This window comes from Homo sapiens, chromosome 1 (genome assembly GCF_000001405.40).
Source record: "Homo sapiens chromosome 1, GRCh38.p14 Primary Assembly".
NCBI classification, from domain to species: domain Eukaryota; kingdom Metazoa; phylum Chordata; class Mammalia; order Primates; family Hominidae; genus Homo; species Homo sapiens.
The window spans coordinates 92,856,368-92,882,517 of record NC_000001.11 but is presented as its reverse complement, the minus strand read 5'-3'; the positions used below and the strand labels follow the sequence as shown (position 1 = coordinate 92,882,517).

Here is a 26,150-nt window from a genome sequence, read left to right as displayed (position 1 = left end):
GATCAGTGGTTAAACTACTTAGAAAAGCACATAAACAAATGATTATCATGGTAGTCAAGAGCATGTTGGGAGGATAGGGGTCAGTGAGGGTGTTAGAAAATTCTGGGGGTTTTATTTATTTATTTTTTTGAGACGGAGTTTTGTTCTTGTCGCCCAGGCTGGAGTGCAATGGCACGATCTCAGCTCACTGCAACCTCTGCCTCCCTGGTTCAAGTGATTCTCCTGCCTCAGCCTCTCAAGTAGCTGGGATTACAGGCGCATGCCATCATGCCCAGCTAATTTTTGTATTTTTAATAGAGGTGGGGTTTCACCATGTTGGCCAGGCTGGCCTCGAACTCCTGACCTCAGGTGATCTGCCCACCTCGGCCTCCCAAAGTGCTGGGATTACAGGCATGAGCCACCACACCTGGCCAGAAAATTCTGTATTTTTACCCAAGTGGTAGTTATTTAGATATTTGCTTTATAATTATAATGTAAGCTATATTTATATATTTTAAGTAATTCTGTGTTAATATTTTACAGTTAAAAAGATTTTTAAAGCATCAAGAGACTTGTAGATCTTAGAGACATTTAAATATGTACATTAAACACATATATACAAATAGTTTTTTCTAACTAAAAAAGTAATACATATTTGTTATAGAAAATTAAGAGAAGAAAAATAAAAATTATCCATAATCCCACCACCTCTTGACATTTTGAGATAACAACCCTTAATGTTTTGTTTATTTCCTTGCAGTTTCTAAAGTTTTTTGGTGATTTCTCTTTCTAAAAGCCAAATTGGGAACATATCATACATGTGATTTTGAAAGCGAATTTTTTTTCACTTAATATATCACGAGCTATTGCTTTTACTTAGACACTTCTTTGAAATAGTGTTTTACCATTGAGCCTAGTCACAGGCTTGAGAGTCACCCCATGCAATGAATTCCCTAGTTGTTCTTGGCATTTTGTTTTGCGGTCAGCCTCTAAGCATGTGAAAATTATCTGCTTTTTATTGAAACTTTATTTCTAGAGTTTTCATAAAATCAAAACACAGAATATGCTCCTGCAAATAAAATCTTTAAACTTGAGATCAAAGAATAATTCAGATTCTTTCTATAAATCCTAAAATTCACCTCTTAAAAAGATTAAGAATGCTAAAACTCTGACCAGTAGACTCATAATGCCTTTTTTTTTTTTTTTTTTTTTGAGACAGAGTCCCCATTCTCAAAATTAAGAACATTTGTGTATGGAGTATTTAGGGGTAAAGTAAAAGGACTTTGTGCTTTACATGTTTATGAAAGATGCAGAGTATTAAAAATAGATAATAGAAGTAGCCTTTTTTTTTTTTTTTTTTTTTTTTGAGACCGAGTCTCGCTCTGTCACCCAGGCTGGAGTGCAGTGGCATGATCTCGGCTCACTACAACCTCCACCTCCCGGGTTCAAGCGATTCTCCTGCCTCAGCCTCCCGAGTAGCTGTGATTACAGGCTCCCGCCACCACACCCAGCTAATTTTATGGGTTTCAGTGTGTTGGCCAGGCTGGTCTCGAACTCCTGACCTCATGATCCGCCTGCCTCAGCCTCCCAAAGTGCTGAGATTACAAGCGTGAGCCACCGCGCCCCGCCAGAAGTAGTTTTTTTGTTTGTTTGTTTGTTTGTTTGTTTGGAGACGGAGTCTCGCTCTGTTGCCCAGGCTGGAGTGCAGTGATGCGATCTCAGCTCAAGGCAACCTCTGCCTCCCGAGTTCAAGCGATTCTCCTGTCCCAGCCTCCCAAGTGGCTGGGATTACAGGTGCACGCCACCACGCCCAGCCAATTTTTTTTGTATTTTTAGTAGAGACAGGGTTTCAGCATATTGGCCAGGATGGGCTCTATCCTTTGGCTCCATGATCCTCCCACCTCAGCCTCCCAAAGTGCTGGGATAACAGGCGTGAGCCACCGCGTGGCCAGAAGTAGTCTTAAATGGCTAAATTTTGGTTGTTGCCTCTTTCTGCCTATTTTTAAAACTTAATGTAAAGTTACAAACAAGATCAAAAATTTTCAGATTTGTTTTGAAATAAGTTATCACAATGAAATCAAACGATATTTTAAAAGAAGAAAAACTATTACTATTTTTTAGAGTAGAATTGGCATTTTGTGTCATCGTGGGCTTACAATAAAATATTGGCAATCATTTACTCTAGTGATAACTGCTTCTGTTATTTCCAGACAGATGTTATTATATTTTTAAAATTACTAATATTTTATGCATTAAAGGCTAATATAAGATAAAATGCTAATGTCATACAAATTTAGCTCTTTCAACCCCACAGTTTTTGTTTTCATTTTATTGTGTAACTGTAAGTTTCTCAAACACATTTTGGGCCTGATAATGCTTTGCTGTGGGGGGCTACATTGTACATTGCAGGATGTTTAGCAGCATCTCTGGCTGCTACCCCACAAGATTTCAGTAGCAGCCTCCAGTTGGGAAACCAAACATGTCTCCAGACATTGCCAAGTGTCCCCTGTGGGGCAAAACTAAGTCCATTTGAGAATCACTGCCATAGTGTATTTACAAAAATTCTTATCATGCTTTTCAGGAACAAAATTAGGAAAAAAGCAACATACCATTACTAGCTAGGCACACAATCTGCCGAACAAAAAACTGCTGGGCAGTCATTGTGAATAGTTCAGCATAAATAAAAAGGTCAGACTACATTTCTTAATCAAAGACTACATTATCTAGGTAATTGGTACAGAACAGACCACTAGAAACATTTTAGTGAGTGGCACACAGGGAAATTAAATTGGTTAATAGCTACAGATGTAATTTATGGCTCTTTCTTCAATCATTATTTTTAAATGTGAGGCTGCAGGATCTGCAGATATTAAAGGACGCATGAAGGTCCTTTTACTACTTTGTGTTACCCCCAAATCACAGCAATTCTCAATGGCATGCTGAAAGAAAAAGGTGTCTCACTCCTTTTATCATTTTGTCTACAACAGGTGATGCCCAGTGCCCTGCTGGGAACATCATCAATCTAACTTCCTCTCAAAAATGTTTGGCATTCTTTGTCATGACAAGTAGGCATCGGGCAGTCCAGTTCATAGGGTTTTTCTCCATTTAAACATATGCCAGAGGAAGTAGAAAAACGTAGCTATTTGATAGGTAGAGAAAAGAAAAATATTTAAATATTGTCACAGAACCATTATCACACCTTAAAAAACTAAAATAATCCTTTACTATCATCAAGTATACTGTCATTCTTAAAATTTTCAATTGTCTTATAAATGTCATTTTTTACAGGTTTTCATTTGAATCAGGACTCAAAAAAGATACATGTGTTGTAATTATTTGATATATTTCTCTCTTTTTTTGCAACAGGGTCTCTCTGTGTCACCCAGGCTGTAGTGCAGTGGTGCGATCTTGGCTCACTGCAACCTCTGCCTCCCAGGCTCAAGCAATCCTCTCACCCTAGCCTCCCAAATAGCTGGGACTACAGGCATGAGCCACTATGCTTGGCTAATTTTTATTTTTATTTTTATTTTTTGAGATGGAGTCTTGCTCTGTCACCCAGGTTGGAATGCAGTGGCACAATCTCGGCTCACTGCAACCTCCGCCCCCCAGGTTCAAGCAGTTTTCCTGCCTCAGCCTCCTGAGTAGCTGGGATTACAGGTGCATGCCACCACACTCGGCTAATTTTTGTTTGTTTGTTTGTTTGTTTGTTTGTTTGTTTTTGAGACAGAGTCTCGCTGTCGCCCAGGCTGGAGTGCAGTGGTGCGATCTCGGCTCACTGCAGGCTCCGCCCCCCGGGGTTCACGCTATTCTCCTGCCTCAGACTCCCGAGTAGCTGGGACTACAGGCCCCCGCCACCTCGCCCGGCTAATTTTTTGTATTTTTAGTAGAGATGGGGTTTCACCGTGTTAGCCAGGATGGTCTCGATCTCCTGACCTCGTGATCCGCCCACCTCGGCCTCCCAAAGTGCTGGGATTACAGGTGTGAGCCACTGCGCCTGGCCTAATTTTTGTATTTTTAGTATAGGCGGGGTTTTACCATGTTGGCCAGGCTGGTCTTGAACTCCTCACCTCAAGTTGTTCGCCTGTCTTGGCCTCCCGAAGTTCTGGGATTACAGGCGTGAGCTCCTGGCTGGCCTTGGCTAATTTTTAAATTTTTTCATAGAGACAATGTCTCACTATATTGTCCAGACTGATCTCAAATTCCTATACTTAAGTGATTCTCCTACCTCAGCCTCCGAAAGTGCTGGGATTACAGATCTAGCCTAATATATATCTTAAATGATTTTTAATCTTTAAGTTTCCCCTTGCCTTTTTTTCCCTTCTTGTAATTTATTTGTTGAAGAAACTGGATTGTTTGTATTGCAGTGTTTCCCACAGCCTGGAGTTTGCTGATTATATCCTTATAGTGTCACTTACTTAAGTGTCACTTGTGTTTCTCTGTCTCATGTATTTCCTGTAAACTGGTAGCTGGAGCTAAAAGGCTTGATCAGATTCAGATTCAGTTTTCTTTTTGGCAAGTCCGAAAAGAAGATGATAGCCACTGACAGTATTGTTGGCTTCTTGCCCAGTGACTTGCAAATTGATTTAGCTAACATTTGCTGAATACTTACTACGTGCCCAGCAATATGCTTATGTTTTATAGGCATTATGTCATTTAATCTTATTTAGGTTCACAATATTAGTACATGTCGATTTCTGTCTGATGACCAAACCTCTTATTAGAGACGAGTCATCTTAAATATCTTTCAAACAAACCCCATGGTATATACCCCATTGTCTTTTATGTGATTTAATTTGGAGTTTAATCTGAACTTTCTTTTTACTTAGAGCAATACAAAAGTATCTTGCATTAAGGCACTTTTTCATTTTAATAATAAAGCTCAGAGACCTACAATTTTACTGAGAACTCATTGTACTCAAGCCTTTTGGTACAGGGATTCACCATCTGTTAACCTCACAAAGATATCTAAACCACAAATAGGGCCAATAGAATTCAGTATTTCCTGAGTCTCTTTTTCCTTTGCACTCATTGTCTTCTGCAGGTGTGCTTATGTCTCTCTCATCTCTTTCTGCTTCTTTGCATGCTCACAATGCTCACAATATCCTACTGTTCCCAGTGTGAGAAACTGGCTCGTGATTGTAAAAGCAAAACTAGCTTTTCATTGTTTGTTTACATATCTTTAATTTATTCTGCCGAATTCTCTTCGTAGTCCTCAGTTCTGCTGTTTATAAAACCAGACCATGGGTGCTACAGACTCAAAAAATAAATGTCAAATAGTCTTGATCAAGTGTCACTTTTGAAGATGAAACTGTTTGATATGTAATTGATGGAAAAAAGGCATCAACCAGCCCGAGTTGCAATTAGATACAAGAGCACTGGAAACAAAACAATGCAAAGAGGATCCTATTGTGCAGCTTTACACTTTGCAAGTTGATATGCAAAGAGTAACTTATTTTTAATATATCTTAACCCTTCTCCAGTCATTTCTCCTTTAACAATTGTTAGCGTCTCCTCAGTTTCCAGAATATCTATTCGGTGAAACATTTGGTTCGCTGAACAAGAGGAACATAAAGCCCTGGTGAATACAATAGGGAAATAGAAATGACTGTAGAGCTTAATTTCTTGTTCTGGTTGTCAGTATGAGACATTAGACAAATAGCCAGATTTTCTGTTCTTATTTCTTTAAAACAAAATTATTTTTATCATGATTTTCCTAAAGACCTTTAAGATTCTTATGTGAAAGAGTCTTTTGTAAGCTTCTAGTAAATAGGAATTGTACCTCTCTTTACCTGATCTCACAAGGTGCCCAGGGTAGCATGGTACATGTGCTTGTGCCTAAAAAGTAGCTTTGGATGATGGTGGTATTTGAAAGGTTATACATCTTAAAGGATATTTTGTTCCCTTTTTCCTTGGCAGGACCAAGGAGCTTCCTTTTCTAAGACCAGTGCTGTTTGGACTCAGTGAAAGTGCACTTTGTTCTAGAATTGCCATATAAAAGCCTGGAATATATATTGAGTTGTTCCAAGAAGGGTGAGAAGTCGTGTTCTAGGACATTGAATGCTGATTTGGTGCTGAATGAATGATCGTTATGTTCTTTTTTACTCACAGGCTCGCTTCTCATATGTGCGGATGAAATATCTTTTCTTTTCCTGGTTAGTGGTTTTTGTTGGAAGCTGGATTATATATGTGCAGTATTCTACCTATACAGAATTATGCAGAGGAAAGGACTGTAAGAAAATAATAGTAAGTATTTTAAATTTCCTGTTTACTAAAAAGCCTCTTCATAACACTATATTTACTGCTTACATACTTACTAATGATGTTTTTAAAAATAAAAGTTAATTTGACATTAGAATTGTGCTAATCTTCTTAGCTTTTTGACATGACCCATTAGTAAAGTTTTCCCCACTTTGAAAATTCCAGTGTTCAGAAATTTAAATATATAACACATAAATAAGTTAGTGTGGGGGCATCCTCAATACAAAGAAGGATTTTTATTATATATATATATATTTTTAATATATTTAAGTTTTAGTTTATTTCAATCAGATGAGTTTTTTAATGTTTAGACTATAAAAGCGTATTTACAGGCAGACTTTCTAGAACACATCTTTTACTCTTGAATACCAAAATTTATCTAAAAGGATTATTATTCTGTTTCTATCCTAGTGATTGGATGTATCTCAGAAAAATGACTGTATCAGTCTAAGATTTCTAGTAGTGATCATTAATTCTATAGACTTATATTTTAAAAATTTGAGAATTTCAAGTAAATTTAACTCCTTTTTTTCCACCAGTACTTTCTCTCTTTTTTTTTTTTTTTTTGAGACGAAGTCTTGCTTTATTGCCCAGGCTGGAGTGCAGTGGTACAATCTCAGCCTACTGCAACTGCCTCCCAGGTTCAAGCAATTCTCCTGCCTCAACCTCCCAAGTAGCTGGAATCACAGGCTCGCACTACCACGCCTGGCTAATTTTTGTATTTTCAGTAAAGACGGGGTTTCACCATGTTGCCCAGGCTGGTCTTGAACTCCTAGCCTCAAGTGATCCGCCCTCCTTGACTTCCCAAAGAGCTGGGATTACAGGCATGAGCCACCGCACCTGGCCTCTACCAGTACTTTCTAATATAAAGAATATTAAAACACTCCATCTCAGAATTATATTTGAATAGTAATGATTTGGAGGGTTCCAATTATTATAACTTGTTAAAGATTCTATAGTTGTTGAGTAGCTACTCTTTACCCAGGCCAGTGGTGTATGCATATAACAGGGAGCAAAATATCTTTGACCTTATAAAACTTACAGTGGATCAGGAAAGAAAATGAGTAATTACAGTAAGGTAAGATAAATAAGATAGCAACTGTTATGGGAACATAAGACGGAAACCTGGAGCTTCCCCAAGTTCTAAGAAAATAAAAACCAGTTTAACACAAGGTGCTTCATCAGTTAGGATACAAAAACACGTTATTCCACAGGAGTGTTACAGTCTTTTAACTAGGCAAGAGAGGGGAATGAGTTAGTAAAGAAGAGTCCTAAGTCAAGGTTCAAAGATAGCAATCCTGTGTTCATTCCAACTGGCCATTCTAGATCCTTAAGGAATTTTAAGATAGGAGGTATCTCTGGGGCCAATGTACTGGGTACTTTACATGTTCATTAATCCTTAGCATAATAGTGTACAGATAAAGAACTATGACCCAGAGAGACAGGAGAATTTGCCCAAGATGATGGAACCAGAATTTGATCCTAATTCTGTCTCTCTATGAAGCTCATACTCCTTCTGCTACCCTACATCAGAAAAGACTGACAGAAGAAGTTACAGTCTAATAAAGCTAATAAAACCCCACAAAACTCAGTTTCTAACCTTCAGTGAAGAAGGAGGAAACAGGAGGTAGATAATCAAGTTCAAAAACATACAAATAACCGAAACTATTTGAAATGTTTATTTCTCTTTCTCTAGGCCACCTTTCTCAAACTAGGTACCTTGGAGCACATTAATAGATATTCCATGGATAAAATATGTCCCTGGTCAGATGTATTTGGAAACAGAGGGTTAAATAAAGATAACAACTGACTTTACTAAGGACTTCTTAGGTTCTTTTAGATACTAATATGTGTTATGCATCTCCAAGAGACAGCAAATATACTTGATCAGAAAAAACCATATCCCCACCACAGCCCTCCCAGGAAGACCTGTTAACATCATCTGGTAATGTTAGAAATCTAAGAGATTAAGACAAAATGAAGTGGATATGCTTTTAAATATCTTGTATCATTACAGTATCCTTCAAATGTAGGGCAAATATTGGTACATATTCTGTCATGAGTAAATTAGAGTTGAAGTGCTTCATTACTTTTCACTTTAATTTAATTTCCCTTTAATTTATAAGAAAGGAAACCAGAACATAATTCTAGCATAATTTAATGGTTATTTTATCAAACCCTGAAGATAATGAAAGAGCTTTCTGAGTCTAAAATACATCATTTTCCTAAGACTGGCTTTTAAAAAATTATAGTTATTCTGCATTTGGGATTATGTTCTTAAAACCTATCATAAGTAGTAGTACTAAAGTCAATAGTACTAAGCTAAGATAGTACTAATATTGTATCACAATTGTGGGATTAGAACTAAAAAGCAAGCAGAAAAAATATTGTTAAAGTATATTTTAGCCAGGCATGATGGCATGCACATGTTGTCCCACCTACTTGAGAGGCTGAGGTGGGAGGATCCCTTAAATCCAGGAATTTGAGATTGCAGTGAACTATGATCCTGCCACAACACTCCAGCCTGGGCAACAGAGCAAGACTTCATCTCAAAAATAAAATAACTTCTTTAAAAGTATATTTTAAAGCCTCAAAGTGCTAACAAGATAGGGAGGAATTACTTGATCAAGACCTGGGAGAGGATAAGATTTTTTTTTTTTTTTTTTGAGACAGAGTTTTGCTCTGTCACCCGGGCTGCAGTGCAGTGGTGCAATCTCGGCTCACTGCAACCTCTGCCTCCCGGGTTCAAATGATTCTCCTGCCTCAGCCTCCCAAGTAGCTGGGACTACAGGTACCCACCACCACACCTGGCTAATTTTTCTATTTTTAGTAGAGATGGGGTTTTGCCATGTTGGCCAGGCTGGTCTCAAACTCCTGACCTCAGGTGATCCACCTGCCTCGGCCTCCCAAAGTGCTGGGATTACAGGCGTAAGGCACCACACCCAGCCGAGAGGATAAGATTTGAAAGAGGTGGGCCTAGTTTTTGTGGCTGCTTTTCACTGGTGATGTATGATCTAAAATTGAAATATACAGTCTTAAGGGGCTAGGGTAATAAAAATCTACTACATCCAACCAAGGATGGGAACACTGGCACACCATGCTTTGTGCTGAGACCTTAAAGGAATGAACCCCAGGAGTAAAGGTAAACTAAAAGAATCTCAGAATGGTGAGCTGACTTTTATGGCCTCTTTTACCCTGGGGGGAATTTGCTGATTCTGGGCATGGGCAGGGATCTGAGAAGCAGAAACCTTATGTTGGCGGAAAGCCCCTACTGGGGACAAGAAATCAGCAGAGGCTTTGTGGAAAACCAGGGGAACCTCATGCATACAGCCAGTTATCCTGTTGGGATATTTGCCAATTCCCGGGGCTCTGCAGAATGAGAGGTTAAAAACCTCATTGGAAAGCCTTTGAAAAGCAGAACAGACTCTTTGGCAGTCTCACAAGATACAGATTAGAGTTATGAACTTGCCAGAAGGAGAAGCCCCAATGAATACCAAGCTCTCAGTTAAAAATCCTAGAGGGCTATATACCCTTGGACATAAGTAGCTAGAGCTTTACCCAGAGCTACAACCAAGTCTCAACTTCAAACAGCTCCTGATTTTGTTAAGGTGATCAGCTACCATTACCTTTGTCTGCTAGACAGAAGGAAACCCTCTCTGGAGACATTATGTAAAAAAGTACAAAGAATGCCAAAAGACAAAATAAAATGACCAAAAATCAAGAGATAAACACAGATACTAGAAGCAGATCTCCAGATGATCCAGATATTAAGAGTTATTCAAAAAGAATGTAAAAATAACTTTATATTCATGTTCAGTTAAATAGGAATAAAGGTAGAAGAAATAGGTAAAACAATGGAGAATTTCAACAGAGAATTGTAATATATAAAAAAGAATCAAGGCTGGGCATGGTGGCTCGTACCTGTAATCCCAGCACTTTGGGAGGCCAAGGTGGGCAGATCACTTGACTCCAGGAGTTTGAGACCAGCCTGGCCAACATAGCAAAAACCTGTCTCTACTAAAAATACAAAAAAATTAGCCGAGTGTAGTGGCACACATCTGTAATTCCAGCTACTCAGAAGGCTGAGGCACAAGAATCACATGAACCCAGGAGGCAGAGGTTGCAGTGAGCTGAGATCACATCACTGCACTCCAGCCTGGGTGACAGAGGGAGACTCTGTCTCAAAAAAAAAAAAAAAAAAAAAAAAAAAAGATTTAAAGAAAAAGAATCAGGAAAATAGTATGGAGGGTTCTCAAATTGTTAAACATGGAATTACCATATGATCCAGTAAATCCACTTCTGGGTATACATACCAAAAAAATTGAAATCAGGGTTTCAAATGGATTCTGGCACACCAATGTTCACAGTAGCATTATTCATAGTAGCCAAAAGGTGGAAACAAGCCAACTGTCCATCCACAGATGAATGGATAAACAAAATATTGTATATAGATACAATGGAATATTAGCCTTTAAAAAGAGTAAAATTCTGATACATGCTACAACATGGATGAATATTGGAAACATTATGCTAAGTGAAAGAAGCCAAACACAAAAAGACAAATATTGTATGATTCCATTTATATGCTGCAATACCTAGAATAACAATTACATATAAAATGGGAGAAGGATAAAGGAAGTTAAAGTGTTTAAGTCCTTACAATATTGCAGAGTAGGATAAAAGAATCAACCAGTTAACTTTAGACTTTGATAATTCAAGGATGCATATTATTATTTCTAGGATAACCTATACAATAGAAAGAGTGTACCATTTCCAAACTAACATAGAAAAAATGGAATAATAAAAGAATAAAAGAGGCCGGGTGCAGTGTCTCACACCTGTAATCCCAGCACTTTGGGAAGCTGAGGCAGGCAGATCACCTGAGGTCGGTAGTTCGAGACCAGTCCAACCAACATGGAGAAATCCTGTCTCTACTAAAAATACAAAATTAGCCGTGCGTGGTGGTGCATGCCTGTAATCCCAGCTACTCAGGAGGCTGAGGCAGGAGAATTGCTTGAACCCGGGAGGAGGAGGTTGCAGTGAGCCAAGATTGTGCCACTGTACTCCAGCCTGGTCAACAAGAGCGAAACTTAGTCTCAGAAAAAAATAAATAAATAAAAGAATAAAAGAATAGTCAGTCCAAAGGAAGGCAAGAAAGTAAAGAAAAAGAACAGGCAGGATAAGTAAAAATAAATACATAAGATGAAAGATGTCACAGATTGAATTCCCTGGAAAGCAGACTTAGAGACTAAGGTTTGCCTGCAGCAAGTTGATTAAATTCGGCTCTTGGGATTAACATCTGTAGAGAGTGAGGAAGCAGAGTTAAGTCAGAGGGAAAAGTTGAACTACACTGCAGTAGTAACAAAGGCCTTAAAGGTCAACGCTACAGGGAATTCTGGAGCTGGGATGACCTTGCAAAGGTCCAGACCTTTATCCCCCTCACTGACCAGTCAGTGGAAGCAGATTCCCACCTTTACCCCGATCCATGCCAAGGAGATATGACCTTGAGCAAGGCTGTACTCTAGCTGAGGGCAGTCCTAAAGGACTCAGCTGAGAGCTGTTTACTACCTGTACTCCCAGTGCTGAAGGAATAAGTGCTCCAGTCCTGGAGAAGGAGATTTGGGTGGCTTACCATGGCATCAGATGTAGTATATTTAAACCCACATATGATGGTAATTGCAGTATGTTATCAGTGGACCAAATGATTTAGTTGAAAGACAAAGATTGTGAGGCTGTATTTAAAAATCAAAATCCAGGCTGGGCGCAGTGGCTCACGCCTGTAATCCCAGCATTTTGGGAGGCTGAGGCGGGTGGATCACCTGAGGTCAGGAGTGTGAGACCAGCCTGGCCAACATGGTGAAACCCCGTCTCTGCTAAAACTGTAAAAATTAGCCGGGCATGGTGGTGGGTGCCTGTAATCCCAGCTACCCAGGAGGCTGAGGCAGGAGAATCGCTGGAACCTGGGAGGCAGAGGCTGCAGTGAGCTGAGATTGCACCACTGCACTCCAGCCTGGGCAACAAAGCAAGACTCTGTTTACAAAATAAAAATTAAAATCCAGCTATAAGAGAGACATCTGAAATATATGAAGATGTTGAAAGTAAAACAATATGAAGCCACTTATGCAAATATGCAAATTCTTGGATGTTTGGAGGAGAGCAACAGATATGTGTGTGTGTGTGTGTGTGTGTGTGTGTGTGTGTGTGTATATATAATTCATGTAAGTTTTTTATTGCAGATTATACCTTTTTTTAAAGTCTAATCAGCCCTTCCTAACTTGAAATGTAATATATTTTAAATTGGCTTCTCCCATGGTTCAGTTTTACAATAGCTGCCTAAGTAATTACCTGGCCATTTCATGAATTATGGCAATATCCACACATACTTCTGGTCCTGGTCATTACTGTTTTGAAATGTGGAGTCTAAACCGATTGCCTCTCTCCCTCTGTATTAGTGCATGGACTGTTCTTTTTTTAAGTGGATTGAAGAGAACCAAAGCGTATAATAAAATTGCTAATTTTGAATTTTAGGTATATATATATAAAACTGCATAATCTTAAAGTCATGCTTAGTAAACACATGCTCATCAAAGGATTACAATATCCTGTGTATAACCTTTGAACAGATTCCGTTCAAAATCTTCAGTCAATTTCATCTTTGTCAACTAAAGAAGATTATAAAGAGACACAGAAGATCCAAAAGAGGTTCCACAAATATTATTTGCTAAAGTTTTAAGTTTTAAAGTGTGGGTCCTTTTATTCTCTTCAAAAGTTGGCAAAATCTTTCCTTTAGCTTATTTTTCCTATTCTTAATAATTTAGTCAGCACCAGGCATGGTGGCTCACATCTGTAATCCTAGCACTTTAGGAGGCCAAGGTGGGAAGATTGCTTGAGCCCAGGAGTTTAAGACCAGCTAGGCAACATAGTGAGAATCCATCTCTACAAAAAATAAAAAGTTAGCTGGGCATGGTGGCATGCACCTGTAGTCCCAGCTACTTGGAGGCTGAGGTGAGAGGATCACTTGAGCAAAAGGGGTCGAGGCTGCAGTGAGCCATGATAGCACCACTACACTCCAGCCTGGGCAACAGAATGAGACCCTGTATCAAAATAATAATAATAATAATAATAATAGTGTAATATTTATTTTCAAGGTAACTACTGTCATATAGCAATCATATAAAAAGTATAATCCATTTTAGAAGAGGTATCTATCAGTCAGTTAAATATTTATTGAACATCTACATCTAAGTTATTTTTCTAGGTGCTAGGGATATTGTGGTAAGCAAGATAGAATGCCTTAGGAGCTTTTTTTTTTTTTAAGATTGAGTCTCACTCTGTCACACAGGCTGGAGTGCAGTGGCACGATCTCAGCTCACCACAACCTCCACCTCCCAGATTCAAGCAATTCTCCTGCCTCAGCCTCCCAAGCAGCTGGGATTACAGGCGCCTGCCACCATGCCCGGCTAATTTTTTTATTTTTAGTAGAGACAAGGTTTCACCACGTTGGCCAGGCTGGTCTCGAACTCCTGACCTCAGGTGATCCACCTGCCTCGGCCTTCAAAAGTGCTGGGATTACAGGTATGAGCCACCGCACCCAGCCAAGGAGCTTACGTTCTTATTGTGGAATGTGTATAATTAAAAACAAAAACAAGTAAATAAATAAGGTACTGACAAGTGCAATGAAAACATATGTAATAGCAATGTTTCGTAGAGAATGGCTAGGGCATGCTGTCTTAACTGGAGTGATTGGGAAAAACCTGCCTGAAAAGATGGCATTTTGAATTGGAAGGTGATGAGAGGAAGCAATTGTGTGAGAATCTAGGCAAAAAGCATTTAAAGAGAAAGGACAGTGAATGCAAATGCCCAAAGAAGGGAGCTTGAGGAACCTGATTGCTTTCATATATGGCTTATGAAAATCTGTCTTATTACTTTAGTAACACCATGTACGTTTTTAAATGTTAGATATTAGTGGTACAACCAACCCACTGTGAAGAACTTCTTGATTACTAGCAGCTAAACCATATCATGTTAGCCTGTTGGAAAAAATGCTAGGCTGAAGTGAAAGCCCCAGCCTCACTTTTTCTTGTGCTGTACTGTGTAGCTTTGAGTAAGTGATTTTATTTCATTGGCTTGCTTTAACTACACTATACAGGCTCGAGAAAAGTATCTCTGTCCTACCTGCATCACAGATTTTATGAAGATAAAGTAGAATTGAACCAATTAACCTGATAATCTAACACTGATTGATGCTCTGACATATCCGTTGAACATAGAGAAGGTTCTCAAGTCCTTGACTTTTTTCATTTGATCTGAGACAAGTACCCCATTACTTGTCATTGCTGTAACATAGCATTGTAATTCAAAAATTTCCTGGAAGATTGCTGTAGCTGTTCCATTGAGAGCATTGCCTCCAAGCTGAAATCATTGCTTAGGAGTTAGGGAGGACAGATTATCAACAAAGTGTAATAAGCAGTTTACGGCCGGGCACGGTGGCTCACACCTGTAATCCCAGTGCTTTGGGAGGCTGAGATGGGCAGATCACTTGAGGTCTGGAGTTTGAGATCAGCCCGGCCAACATGGTGAAACCCCATCTCTACTAAAAATACAAAAATTAGCCAGGTGTGCCAGTGCACGCCTATAATCCCAGCTAGTCAGAAAGCCAAGGCAGGAGAATCGCTTGAACCTGGGAGGCAGAGGTTGCAGTGAGCTGAGATTGTGCCACTGCACTCCAGCCTGGGTGACAGAGCAAGACCCTGTCTCAACAACAACAACAACAACAACAAAGTTTATATCTGTTTAACAGTTGTGGTCTATCTTGTGTTCCATAGCTTTCTTCTCTGCATGCCTCTGTCTTTTTCTCTCTCTCTCCATTTGTGTGTGAAGGGTCCCATCCATTGCAGTAGTTAAGAGCATAAGAATTGGAGTAAAAGGGCCAGGCGCAGTGGCCCATGCCTGTAATCCCAGCACTTTGGGAGGCCGAGGCGGGCGGATCACGAGGTCAAGAGATCAAGACCATCCTGGCCAACACAGTGAAACCCCAACTCTACTAAAAAAAAAAAAAAAAAAAAGAATTGGAGTAAAAGAACTTTAGGTTTCAGTTCCAGCTTTGCCATTTCTGAGCTGTATAAGTTGGGCAAATTATTTAGGCTTTGTAAATGGAGATTAATAATACTTTCATATCAGGTGGTCGTAAGGATAAAATGAGTTCATGTATTGAAAGACAACACTGTGTCTGACACATGGTAAATGTACAGTAAGTTATTATTGTTATATTCTCAAGTTCCGCCCTTCAGTCTGACTGGGAAGATAAGACACACACACACACATTATTTAATCAGGTGTATCAGTCAGGATTCAATCAGAGAAGCAAAAGTGATATAAAGAGATTTATTGTAAGGAGTTGGTTTATACAGTTGTGGGAGCTGGCTGGGCAAATCTAAAATCCATATGGAAGGCTATCAGGAAGGGCAGGCTGGAATTCTCAGGCATTGGCTGAAGCTGCTGTCTACAGGCAACATTTTTTCATCAAGGAATCCTCAGTGGCGCTCTTAAGGCCCTTCAACTGGTAGAATCAGGCTCACCCAGACTATCTAGGATACTCTCTCTTAAAGTCAACTGATTATGAATTTTAATTACATCTGCAAAATACCCTCACAGCAACACCTAGATTGTTTGTTTTGATAACTGGGGGCTATGGCCTAGCCAACCTAGTTGGCAGATCAAAAGACCATCACATCAGGTTAAAATGATTTAGTTTGTACGGTAAATAGTTGTACTACAAAAATGTAAAGAAAGAAAGGATCTATGAATAGGGAGATTATTTTAGATAGAATAGTGGGGAAAGGCTTCATAGAGGAGGCAGAACTTCTACAGGGCCTTCAAGGCCAGGTGCGGTGGCTCATGCCTGTAATCCCAGCACTTTGAGAGGCCGAGGCGGGTGGATCACCTGAGGTCAGGAGTTTGAGACCATCCTGGCCAACATGGTGAAAACCCATCTCTACTAAAAATACAAGAATTAGCCGGGCCTGGTGGCACATGCCTATAATCGCAGCTACTCAGGAGGCTGAGGCAGGAGAATCACTTGAACCCGGGAGACGGAGGCTGCAGTGAGCTGAGATCACGCCATTGCACTCCAGCATGGGTGACAGTGAGAGACTCTGTCTCAAAAAACAAACAAACAAGAAAACCCCAGACTTTTGGAGGTTTCTTTTTATATCTGATTAACACTAGACCAGAGAATTCCCAGAACTATGTATTAGTAGCCACTGAACCACAGCCTTGGTTGGGGCTTTTAATTGACTATAAATTAATATATTTTTCTCTTTTGTCTTTTTGTAGTAAATTCTAAAAACAAACAGAATGTTGAACAAATTATATATGCATTTCGTATAAATTATGTACAGTGCATATTAATCTATTAATCAAGTATATCGTTTCAACATTGGAAATCACTATAGAATATTAATATTATTTTCCTGAGATGTTTTCTCTAACCAATGGATAATGTTTGTTAAAAGATTTAGGGTAATGCTATAAGGTAGGAACCAGAACTGAGATTAATTTTGCACACTGTACATTAGTTTGCAATTTGAATTCAAGTTTACTGTTTTCAGTTTTAGTAAAAATATGAAACTTTCCACTGTCATCATCCATTATTTAGGGCTTGACTCTAGTGAGATGGATAATAGGCTTTTAAAACTCCAAGAAGGGAAATGGAGTGGGAATGGTACACCCAGAAAAGCCAATGTTAACTTATGAAAGTTGTAGGCAATGAGAACTGTCTAAAAATGAGAGCAACAACTAACCCTAATTAGATGTGCTTGGAAAAATCCATTTTTTTTTTCACTTGTGCTTTTTTCTTTTTCCATCAAGCTAATTATATAATATGGTGGAGGAGGGGTTGCTTTTTTTGTTTTGTTTGGAGACAGGATCCCTCTCTGCCACCCAGGCTGGAGTGTAGTGGCAGGATCATAGCTCACTGCAGCCTTGAATTCCTGGGATCCAGGGATCCTCCCACCTCAGCCTCTCAAGTAGCTGAGACTACAGGCATGAGCTACCATGCCCAGCTAATTTTTAAAATTTTTATTAGAGATGGGTTATCACTGTGTTGCCCAGGCTGATCTCCAACTCCTGCCCTTAAGCGATCCTCCCACCTAGATATCCTGAGTAGCTGGGATTACAGGTGTAAGTCAATGTTCTTGGCTATATAGTATGTTATATCTTTTTTTTTTTTTTTTTTTTTGAGACGGAGTCTCACTCTGTAGCCCAGGCTGGAGTGCAGTGGCGCAATCTCAGCTCATTGCAACCTCTGCCTCCTGGGTTCAAGCAATTCTCTTGCCTCAGCCTCCTGAGTAGCTGGGATTACAGACACACACCAGTATGCCCAGCTAATTTTTTTGTATTTTTAGTAGAGACAGGATTTTGCCATGTTGGCCAGGCTGGTCTCAATCCCCTGATCTCAGGTAATCTGCCCACCTTGGCCTTCCCGAGTGCTAGGATTATAGGTGTGTGCCACTGTACCCGGCCTTGTTATATCATTTTTTTTTTACATTTTCTCTGATTATAGAAATCACTAATTTATTCATTATTTCAGCAAATCCTATTTGGTGTCTACCCATAAAGAAATTTTACAGTTTGACTTTGTAAGTAAGATTTGTAGGTAAGATTCTCTTGACATAGCATATTTTGTTTGTTGGGTTCTTTCATAAAGGGAAAAAAAGAAGCAGAGAAGAATATTTCCCTTCTATACATTTCTCAGGACCATATTGTTTAATATTGATCTCTTCTGACATATTCCTCTATGCAAGCAAGTTCTAAGTTTCTACCTGGGTAATAATGAGGAATTACTCACTACATTACTCTAGCAAACCTTTGTGGCCATTATATGAGCACATCCTTTAAATGGAAGTATTACAAAATAAAAGGGCCTCTAAATGTTATTACAGTCTCTTATGAAATTTGATTTGTTGGGTAATGGTTTATTGCTTAAAGCAACTAACATAAGATATACTAAATTTAAGATATTTGGAACCATGTTTTCAATTAGATAGTGATATATAGCTAACTGTATTTCATTTAGCTTTGCCTTTGCTTAGGATCAATTATTATTTAACTTGAAAAGTTTCTTTTCTGCCATTATCCTGTGTTTTTTAAATATACTGAACCAGTCCTACTTGGAACATACTGGGTTTTTTTGTTGTTTTTTTGTTTTTGTTTTTTGGTTTTTTTGAGATGGAGTCTCGCTGTGTCACCCATGCTGGAGTGCAGTGGCGCATCTCAGCTCACTGCAACCTTCACCTCCCGGGTTCAAGAGATTCTCCTGCCTCAGCCTCCTGAGTAGCTGGGATTACAGGCATGGGCCACCACACCCGGCTAATTTTTTTGTATTTTTAGTAGAGACGGGGTTTCACCATGTTGACTAGGCTGATCTTGAACTCCTGACCGACCTTAAGTGAGCCTCTCCTCGGCCTCCCAAAGTGCTGAGATTATAGGTGTGAGCCACTGCACCTGGCCGGAACACACTGTTTTAAAGTACAAGCTTTTTTCCTTTTAAGAAAAGTATAGCCCTTTTCCCTTTATACCAACTTAAGTCTTTATGAACTTATAAAAAATCTATTAAACAGATTTATTTGAAATCTTAACACACATAAACCCTATTCTAAGGAAATCTCTATTTTATTTTAATTTTTGTGGGTTTTTTTTTTTTTTTTTTGGTAGAGACAGGGGTCTTTCTATGTTGCCCAGCCTAGTCTTGAACTCTTAGCTTCAATTGATTTCCCCCACCTCAGCCTCCCAAAGTGCTGGGATTGTAGGCATGAGCCACCACTGCCCGGCCAATCTTAAATCATAGTAGCACTTCTGGTGGCCTTCATGTCTTATGCTACACTCTCTTATATTTTGTGATATTTCTTGTAATCCTGGGACAGGCAGTATCACTGTTAGGATTAGCTCATTCCTGTGAAGCAAGAAAGAGACTAAGGGTTAAAGCCAACTTAGAAAAGACAAGCCAGCAATAAAACATTTGATTTCAGTTAAATATTTATTGTCTGCTTACTGCACTGTGCTTGAGCCTGGGGATACAGAGATGAGAGGTATCCCTGCCCTGAAGATGCTTACAGACTAGTAGGGGATATGGAAAAATAAAAAGGAGGAGCACATAAGTGAGACTGGGATTAGGGTTGCTAGATGTAGCAAATAAAAATAAGGATGCTCAGTTACATTTGAATTTAAAATAAACTAGGACTACCTTGAGTATAAGTATATCCCAAATATTGCCAATAAACAACAATAATTTTTCAGCATAAGTGTATCCTAAGCAGTATTTTGCTCGGCAACCCTAATGAAGAAGGTCCCAGAAGGCTTTCTGGAAAAGGTTACATCTGAGCTGAATTTTGATGAATGAGCATTGCAGACAGAAGGAGGCATGTGCAAAGCTACAAACATGAGAAATAATGCTACATTCCAGGCATAGCATAGCTAGAGCAGAGAAGATGAACGGCAGTTTGCAGAGGTGAAGGAAGCAGGGTCAAACTCATAACAGACCTTGTATCTCATGGTAAGGAGTTCGCCTTTTACCTTCAGAGCAGTAGAGAGTCAGTAGAAGTTTTTAAGCAGGGAAGTGACTGATCCGATTTATGTTTTAGAAAAATTTTGCTACTTGTAGTGGAGAGGGTGGATTAGACAGGAGACAGCACAAGCAGGGGGATCTGTTTTATGGCAGTTGTAATAATCCAGGCACAAGTGACGAGGGTTTAAACTATGGCATTGACAATGGGAATGGAAGGGATGAAACAGCCTCAAAGGATATGAAGGAAATAATTTGATTGCCAGCAATTGGTGACCAGTTGAGTTTGGGGAAATTGGGAAGAACAAGAAATTTAGGACAACTCACTGCTTCCTCCCTCGGTGCCTAGGTGGTTGATGGCACCTTCCACTGAGGCAGGCCATGAAGGAGGACAACCTTGGGACAGAGGAGGGAAGGGTGTGATGGGTTCAGTCTTTGATAGATTGAGTGTGAATTGCTTTTAGGTTATCCAAATCGAGGCAAGAGATGTTCAGGGAGCACTTGGATATTTAATTCACGAAAAAGGCCTAGGCTGGGATAGAGCCAGGATTCCTCAGAGCTGTGGGAATGTCACTGATGATGGTATACAGAGAACACAAGGAAAATGGAACAAAACCCTGGAAAACACTAATACTTAAGATGGTGAGAAAGGAAGAGAATTCCATAAAGAACACTCATAAAGAGTTGCCAGACAGGTGGTTCACTTGAGCTCAAGAGTGCAAGATCAGCCTGAGCAATATGGCGAAACCTCGTCTCTACAAAAAATACAAAACTTAGCCGGGTGTGGTAGTGCGTGCCTATAGTCCCAGCTACTTGGGAGGCCGAGGTGGGAGGATCACCCGAGCCCAGGGAGGTCGAGGCTACAGTGAGGCATAACGCCACTGCACTCCAGACTGGGCGGCAGAGTGAGACCCTGTCTCAAAAAAGATTGAAAAGAGTTGCTAGAGAAGGAGGAGGAAAATATGAAGAGAGAAGCCATAGGAAAGAGTTTTAAAACAGTGTGGTCAACCAGGACAAATGCTGAAGGAGGTTAAATAATATAAGGACTAAAATTTGCAAGTCAGAGATCATTGTTAAAACTGTTATGAGTATTGGCTGAGCGCAGCAGCTCACGCCTGTAATCCCAGCACATTGGGAGGCCAAGGTGGGTGGATCACTTGAGGCCAAGAGTTAGAGACCAGCCTGGGCAACATGACAAAAACCCGTCTCTACTAGAAATACAAAATTTGGCCATGCCTGGTTGTTCTTGCCTGCAATCCCAGCTACCCGGGAGGCTGAGGCACAAGAATTGCCGGAACCCAGGAGGCAGAGGTTGCAGTGAGCCGAGATCACGCCATTGCACTCCAGCCTGGGTGACAGAGTGAGACCCTGTCTCAAAAAAAAAAAAAAAAAAAAAAAGAGAGAGAGAGAATAGAAAAGCTATTAATATATGATTATCTGAATAGATGCATTTGGCAAAATTCAATCAATTCTTAGCAAACTAAGAATAGGAGGGAACTTTCTTAACCTGATAAAAGACATTTATGAAAAACCCACAGCCAACATCTTATGTAATGGTGAAAGTCTGAATATATAATCACTGATATTAGGATCAAAGCAAGGATATACGTTGTCATTTCTATTCCACATATTACTGAATATCCTAGTCACTGTAATAAGTCAAGAAAAAAAATAAAAGACATAGAGATTGGGAAGGAGGGAGAGAAGGAACTGAATCCACCGATGTTTGATGTAAGTGAGGATTAAGTACCCCCATGCAACCTTATTACTAGGTTGTAATGAAAGCAATTTCTGCTAGACATGTAGACATTTATTCAGTCATAAAACATTTTATTTGCAATAAATATATTTATTTTCAAGCAATCATGAAACATTTCATATAATCTGCCTGTAAACTTATTAAAGTTCTAACCCTGCCTTTTTTTTTCTTTTTTTTGAGATGCAGTCTTGCTCTGTCGCCCACGCTGGAGTGCAGTGGTACAATCTTGGCCCACTACAACCTCCTCCTCCTGGGTTCAAGCAATTCTCCTGTCTCAGCCACCCCAGTAGCTGGGACTAAGGTGCACACCACCATTTTTTTTTTTTTTTTTTTAGTAGAAATTGGGTTTCACCAAGTTGGCCAGGCTGGTCTCGAACTCCTGACCTCAGGTTATCCACCTGCCTTGGCCTCCCAAAGTACTGGGATTATAGGTGTGAGCCACTGTGTCCGGCCCCCAAGTCTGCCTTTTTAAGTGCTCTATCAACTTGCATGAAAGATTTAGTCAAGACAAAACCAATGATACTTCAAAGGCAGGCTTGTGTTTCCTTATAATTAGCATCAGGCCACTAGAAATTCTGAACCAATAATTCTCAGTACGTGGTCTCTTAGGCCAGCGTGGGCACTTAAAATTAATGCATATTTTCAGCCTAATCCAAGACCTACTGAGTCCAGAAACTCTGAGACAGGTCCAGCAAACTGTGTTTTCATCAGCCCTCCGTGCAATCTGAAGCTCTCTAAAGTTTGAGAACCTCTAACTGTAAAACTGTTAGCTCCAGGTACCTCCCTAAAGGTAAAGATTATAGCCTCAACTAGTTCTTAAAACCTCTTCATTAAAAGGTATGGAATATCTCATATTTCAGCCAATCCACAACACATATCTTAGATACCTTTAATTTTACCAGTTATCATTCATTTGTAATATTTATCCATCCATTTATCATGCTATTTAACAAACCACAGGCCGGGTGCAGTGGCTTATGCCTGTAATCTCAGCACTTTGGGAGACCAAGGCAGGCAGATTGCCTGAGGCCAGTAGCTTGAGACCAGCCTTGGCAACAAATTGACACACCATCTCTACTAAAAATAAAAAATTAGCCAGGGTGGTGGCATGCACCTATAATCCTAGCTACTTAGGAAGCTGAGGTGGGAGGATTGCTTGAGCCCAGGAGGTCAAGGCTGCAGTGAGCTGTGATCATGCCACTGCACTTCCAGCCTGGGCGACAGAGTGAGACCCTGTCTCGAGAAAATGACAAATTTCACCAATAAAAGCCAGATTTCCTAATTAACAAGTCTCAGAAATTGACCAATCTTGATCAAAGTAAGGAGATAAGGAATATAGAAGCGCTTGGAGTAGCTGCCTCGAGCATTGGCTTCCTGATTACAGCTCTAGCCAAGCACCTGTGCATTCCTGATTTGGATATGAGAGACATCTGGACTATAACTTACACACATATATTAAACTGTGTGTGCTGAGGAATTCTAAAATAAATTGCAGACTCTATTATAACCGAAGGAAGGAAAGAGTGGAGAGGATGTGTGTGTTGCGGGCAGGGGGGAGAGAGATTTGAGCACTTTTAATGGCTGAGAGAGAGAGAGGATGAGAACGCGAACATGAAGTGCAAGTCTAGAAAATGGTGAAGATTTAGTATCGTTGATACGGGGAACGGGAGAGGGTGTTGACGAGAGACGTGGAAGATTTTCAGGCATTGTTAACCCAACTCAGCTATTTTTTTTCCTTAGGAAAAATTGATGAGTTTGTCTGAAATACATTTTTAGAACACACATCTTAGAAAATTACTTAAAACCTGGTAGTATACATCTGTTCATTGTTATTGCCCCCTTGTGGTATAGTTTCCATAGTTGATGAAATTATTCATTCAACTCGGGTGGGTTTCGTCAAATAAGACTAAAGAGTGCCATCTCCTGGTTTGATGAGGTATGTGCAGGCAAGAGAGGCATTTAGGAGAATCACCGGAGTAAAGAACAATCTTAGGACAGGAAAAACCTTTGATGTTTTCGCTGATCATCCTATGGTAAAGTGAAACATTCTCTATAATTTCTGTGTCTTTTTATTTAGAATATCGTTTTACTGACAGTAATTACAGTTTGTGTCTGTGGCTGTGCCTGAAAAACAACAAAACAAAACAAAACAGTACGTGGCCAACCATCCTTTCTATACAAGCATGTGGGAAATTTGCTTTTGGTTTTTGATGTAAGCCACAAGTGGAAGAGCCTGCTCATTGTAACTGCCTCTTTGATGAAGGGTTGGCTTGAGATTTTTTCTTAGAACTAGAATTTGTCTTGTAGCTGAATGCCAGACTAGTCTTTACTGCTTCCCAATAAGTTTACTAATGAGCTACCTGGTTTGTGCTTTAAAAAAAAAAAGTATTAAATATTATAGAAAAGTATGCACTTTAATCCTCAATGAGATTTTAAAGCCAAAGCCACTATTTATGTTGGTTATTTAATAAACATTTACGGAACACTTAAATACCAAACTGTGCTGTGTGCTAGAGAGGAGGGGAGGTTTGAAGATGAATGTAACCAAGTATCTGCCTTCAAATCATCCAGCTTTCCACAAGGGAAGATAACTTGGACACAAATAATGTTAGATTTCAGAATATACAGAAAGAAGGGAGGAAGAAAATAGTGTCAGGAAAGAAATATAAACTCCCAAGATGATTATTGAAAGATGGTTGTGGAAAGAGTCATGTTTAAATCCTGACATTGAACAGAGTTAAGATGAAGTGTTTCTTAAGATTCAGGAGCCCAAGATCAGGACAGTGGAAGGATATCACTCTTTAAGTCCGATCCCATGAATTGTTCATGACAGAGGGCCCTACTTCCGGATAAAAACCCAGCATACACTTCATTCATCCATTTGGCAAGTGCTTTTTTATCTGTATTTGATTATGCGTCAGGCATTGTACAAAGTCCTCAGGAAATAAGGATGAAAGTCCTAGCCCTGTTGTGAGTTGCTTGTATGGAGGGAATGACCAGAGACACCTTTAGTGGGTGCACTCGGGAGGGGTATCTGACACAGTCGGTGCTAAACCTGCTCTGCATGCTCCTCTCCAACATAAATAATCCTGGTTCTGTTACTTTAGTGGTTAAAAGAACAGGCTCTGGAGGCAGACTATCTGGGCTCAGGTTCCAACTCTGCCATTAACCTGCTCTCTGTAAATTTCTTACCCTCTTCTTAACCTCTCTTGCCTCAGTTTCTTTATCAATAAAATGGAGATAATGGTAATACCTATTCCATAGGGAGATTTTGAGAATTTAAGATATATACATGCAAATCTCATAGAACAGTATTGGCATATAAAAAACAATATGACAGCCGGGCACGGTGGCTCACTCCTGTAATCCCAAGCACTTTGGGAGGCCAAGGCAGGCAGATCGCCTGAGGTCAGGAGTTCCAGACCAGCCTAGCTAACATGGTGAAACCCCATCTCTACTAAAAATACAAAAATTAGCTGGGCGTGATGGCAGGTTCCTATAATCCTAGCTATTCGGGAGACTGAGGCAGGAGAATCACTTGAACTGGGGAGGTGGAGTTTGCAGTAAGCCAAGACCACGCCACTGCACTCCAGCCTGGGTGACAAAAGCGAAACTCCATCTCAGAAAAAAAAAAAAAAAACAATATGACAAACGCTGTGTAGCTACCACCTTCTTAACAAATCTTAACCTTTTGCCATATTTGCTTCATTTTTAAAAAGAAGTAAAACATTACAGGTATAGTTGAAGCTCTCTTATCCTGCCTGATATTCTCCTTCCTCCCTCTTTAGAGGAATCACCATCTTGAATTTGGTATGAGTTTTTGCCATGATGTTTTTCTACTTTCACTGCATGTGGCAGGGGTACATAAATACTATGTTTATGTTTGCATATATCTAAACTTTAATAAATGGTACTAAACTGCTCACGTCATTCTGAAATTGTTTCTATTTCACATTATGTTGATATGTCTGGGCCTATTTATTTCATTTTAATGACTGCATAGTATTTCGTACTATGAATATACCACTTTATTCAACCATTCTCCTGTTGAGGGGCATTAACGTTCTTACCCATTTTCCACTCTCACAAACTGCATCTGGATGGCAAATCTCCCAGTACTGCACCTAGATGGCATGCTGCAGTCCTTCCAAGACTGTACCCTGGCCTGCATCACATCTTGTCTTATCTTGTCTTTTCTCTTCTTTTCCTTTTCTTTTTTTCCTTCCTTAAAACTAATCTCTCAAGACCTGGCGCAGTGGTTCACGCCTGTAATCCCAGCACTTTGGGAGGCCAAGGCGGGTGGATAACCTGAGGTCAAAAGTTCGAGCCCAGCCTGACCAACATGGAGAAACCCCATCTCTACTAAAAATACAAAATTACCTGGGCTTGGTGGTGGACACCTGTAATCCCAGCTACTTGGGAGGCCGAGGCAGGAGAATCGCTTGATCCCAGGAGGAGGAGGTTGCAGTGAGCCGAGATCGTGCCATTGCACTCCAGCCTGGGCAACAAGAGGAAACTCCGTCTCAAAAAATAATAATAATAATAAATAATAGTAAATAAACTAATCTTTTATAGAGTTATTGGCCTGCTTTC

The 26,150-nt window shown here is 39.8% G+C and overlaps 1 protein-coding gene across 5 annotated transcripts in view; it reads left to right on the top strand.

The window, feature by feature from the left end:
* DIPK1A (divergent protein kinase domain 1A) overlaps nt 1-26,150 on the top strand; it is a 128,734-nt gene that overhangs the window by 78,945 nt on the left and 23,639 nt on the right. For 3 of the 5 annotated variants that reach the window (NM_001252273.2, NM_001252270.2, NM_001006605.5), the window contains exon 2: nt 6,088-6,222. The exons of 1 other annotated variant lie outside the window; for it this stretch is intronic. In NM_001252273.2, the coding sequence (NP_001239202.1) occupies nt 6,088-6,222 (135 nt within the window). Of the gene's footprint in view, nt 1-5,367; nt 5,558-6,087; nt 6,223-26,150 lie in introns of those variants that run through there. One more of the 5 variants, NM_001252271.2, reaches the window with a different exon arrangement.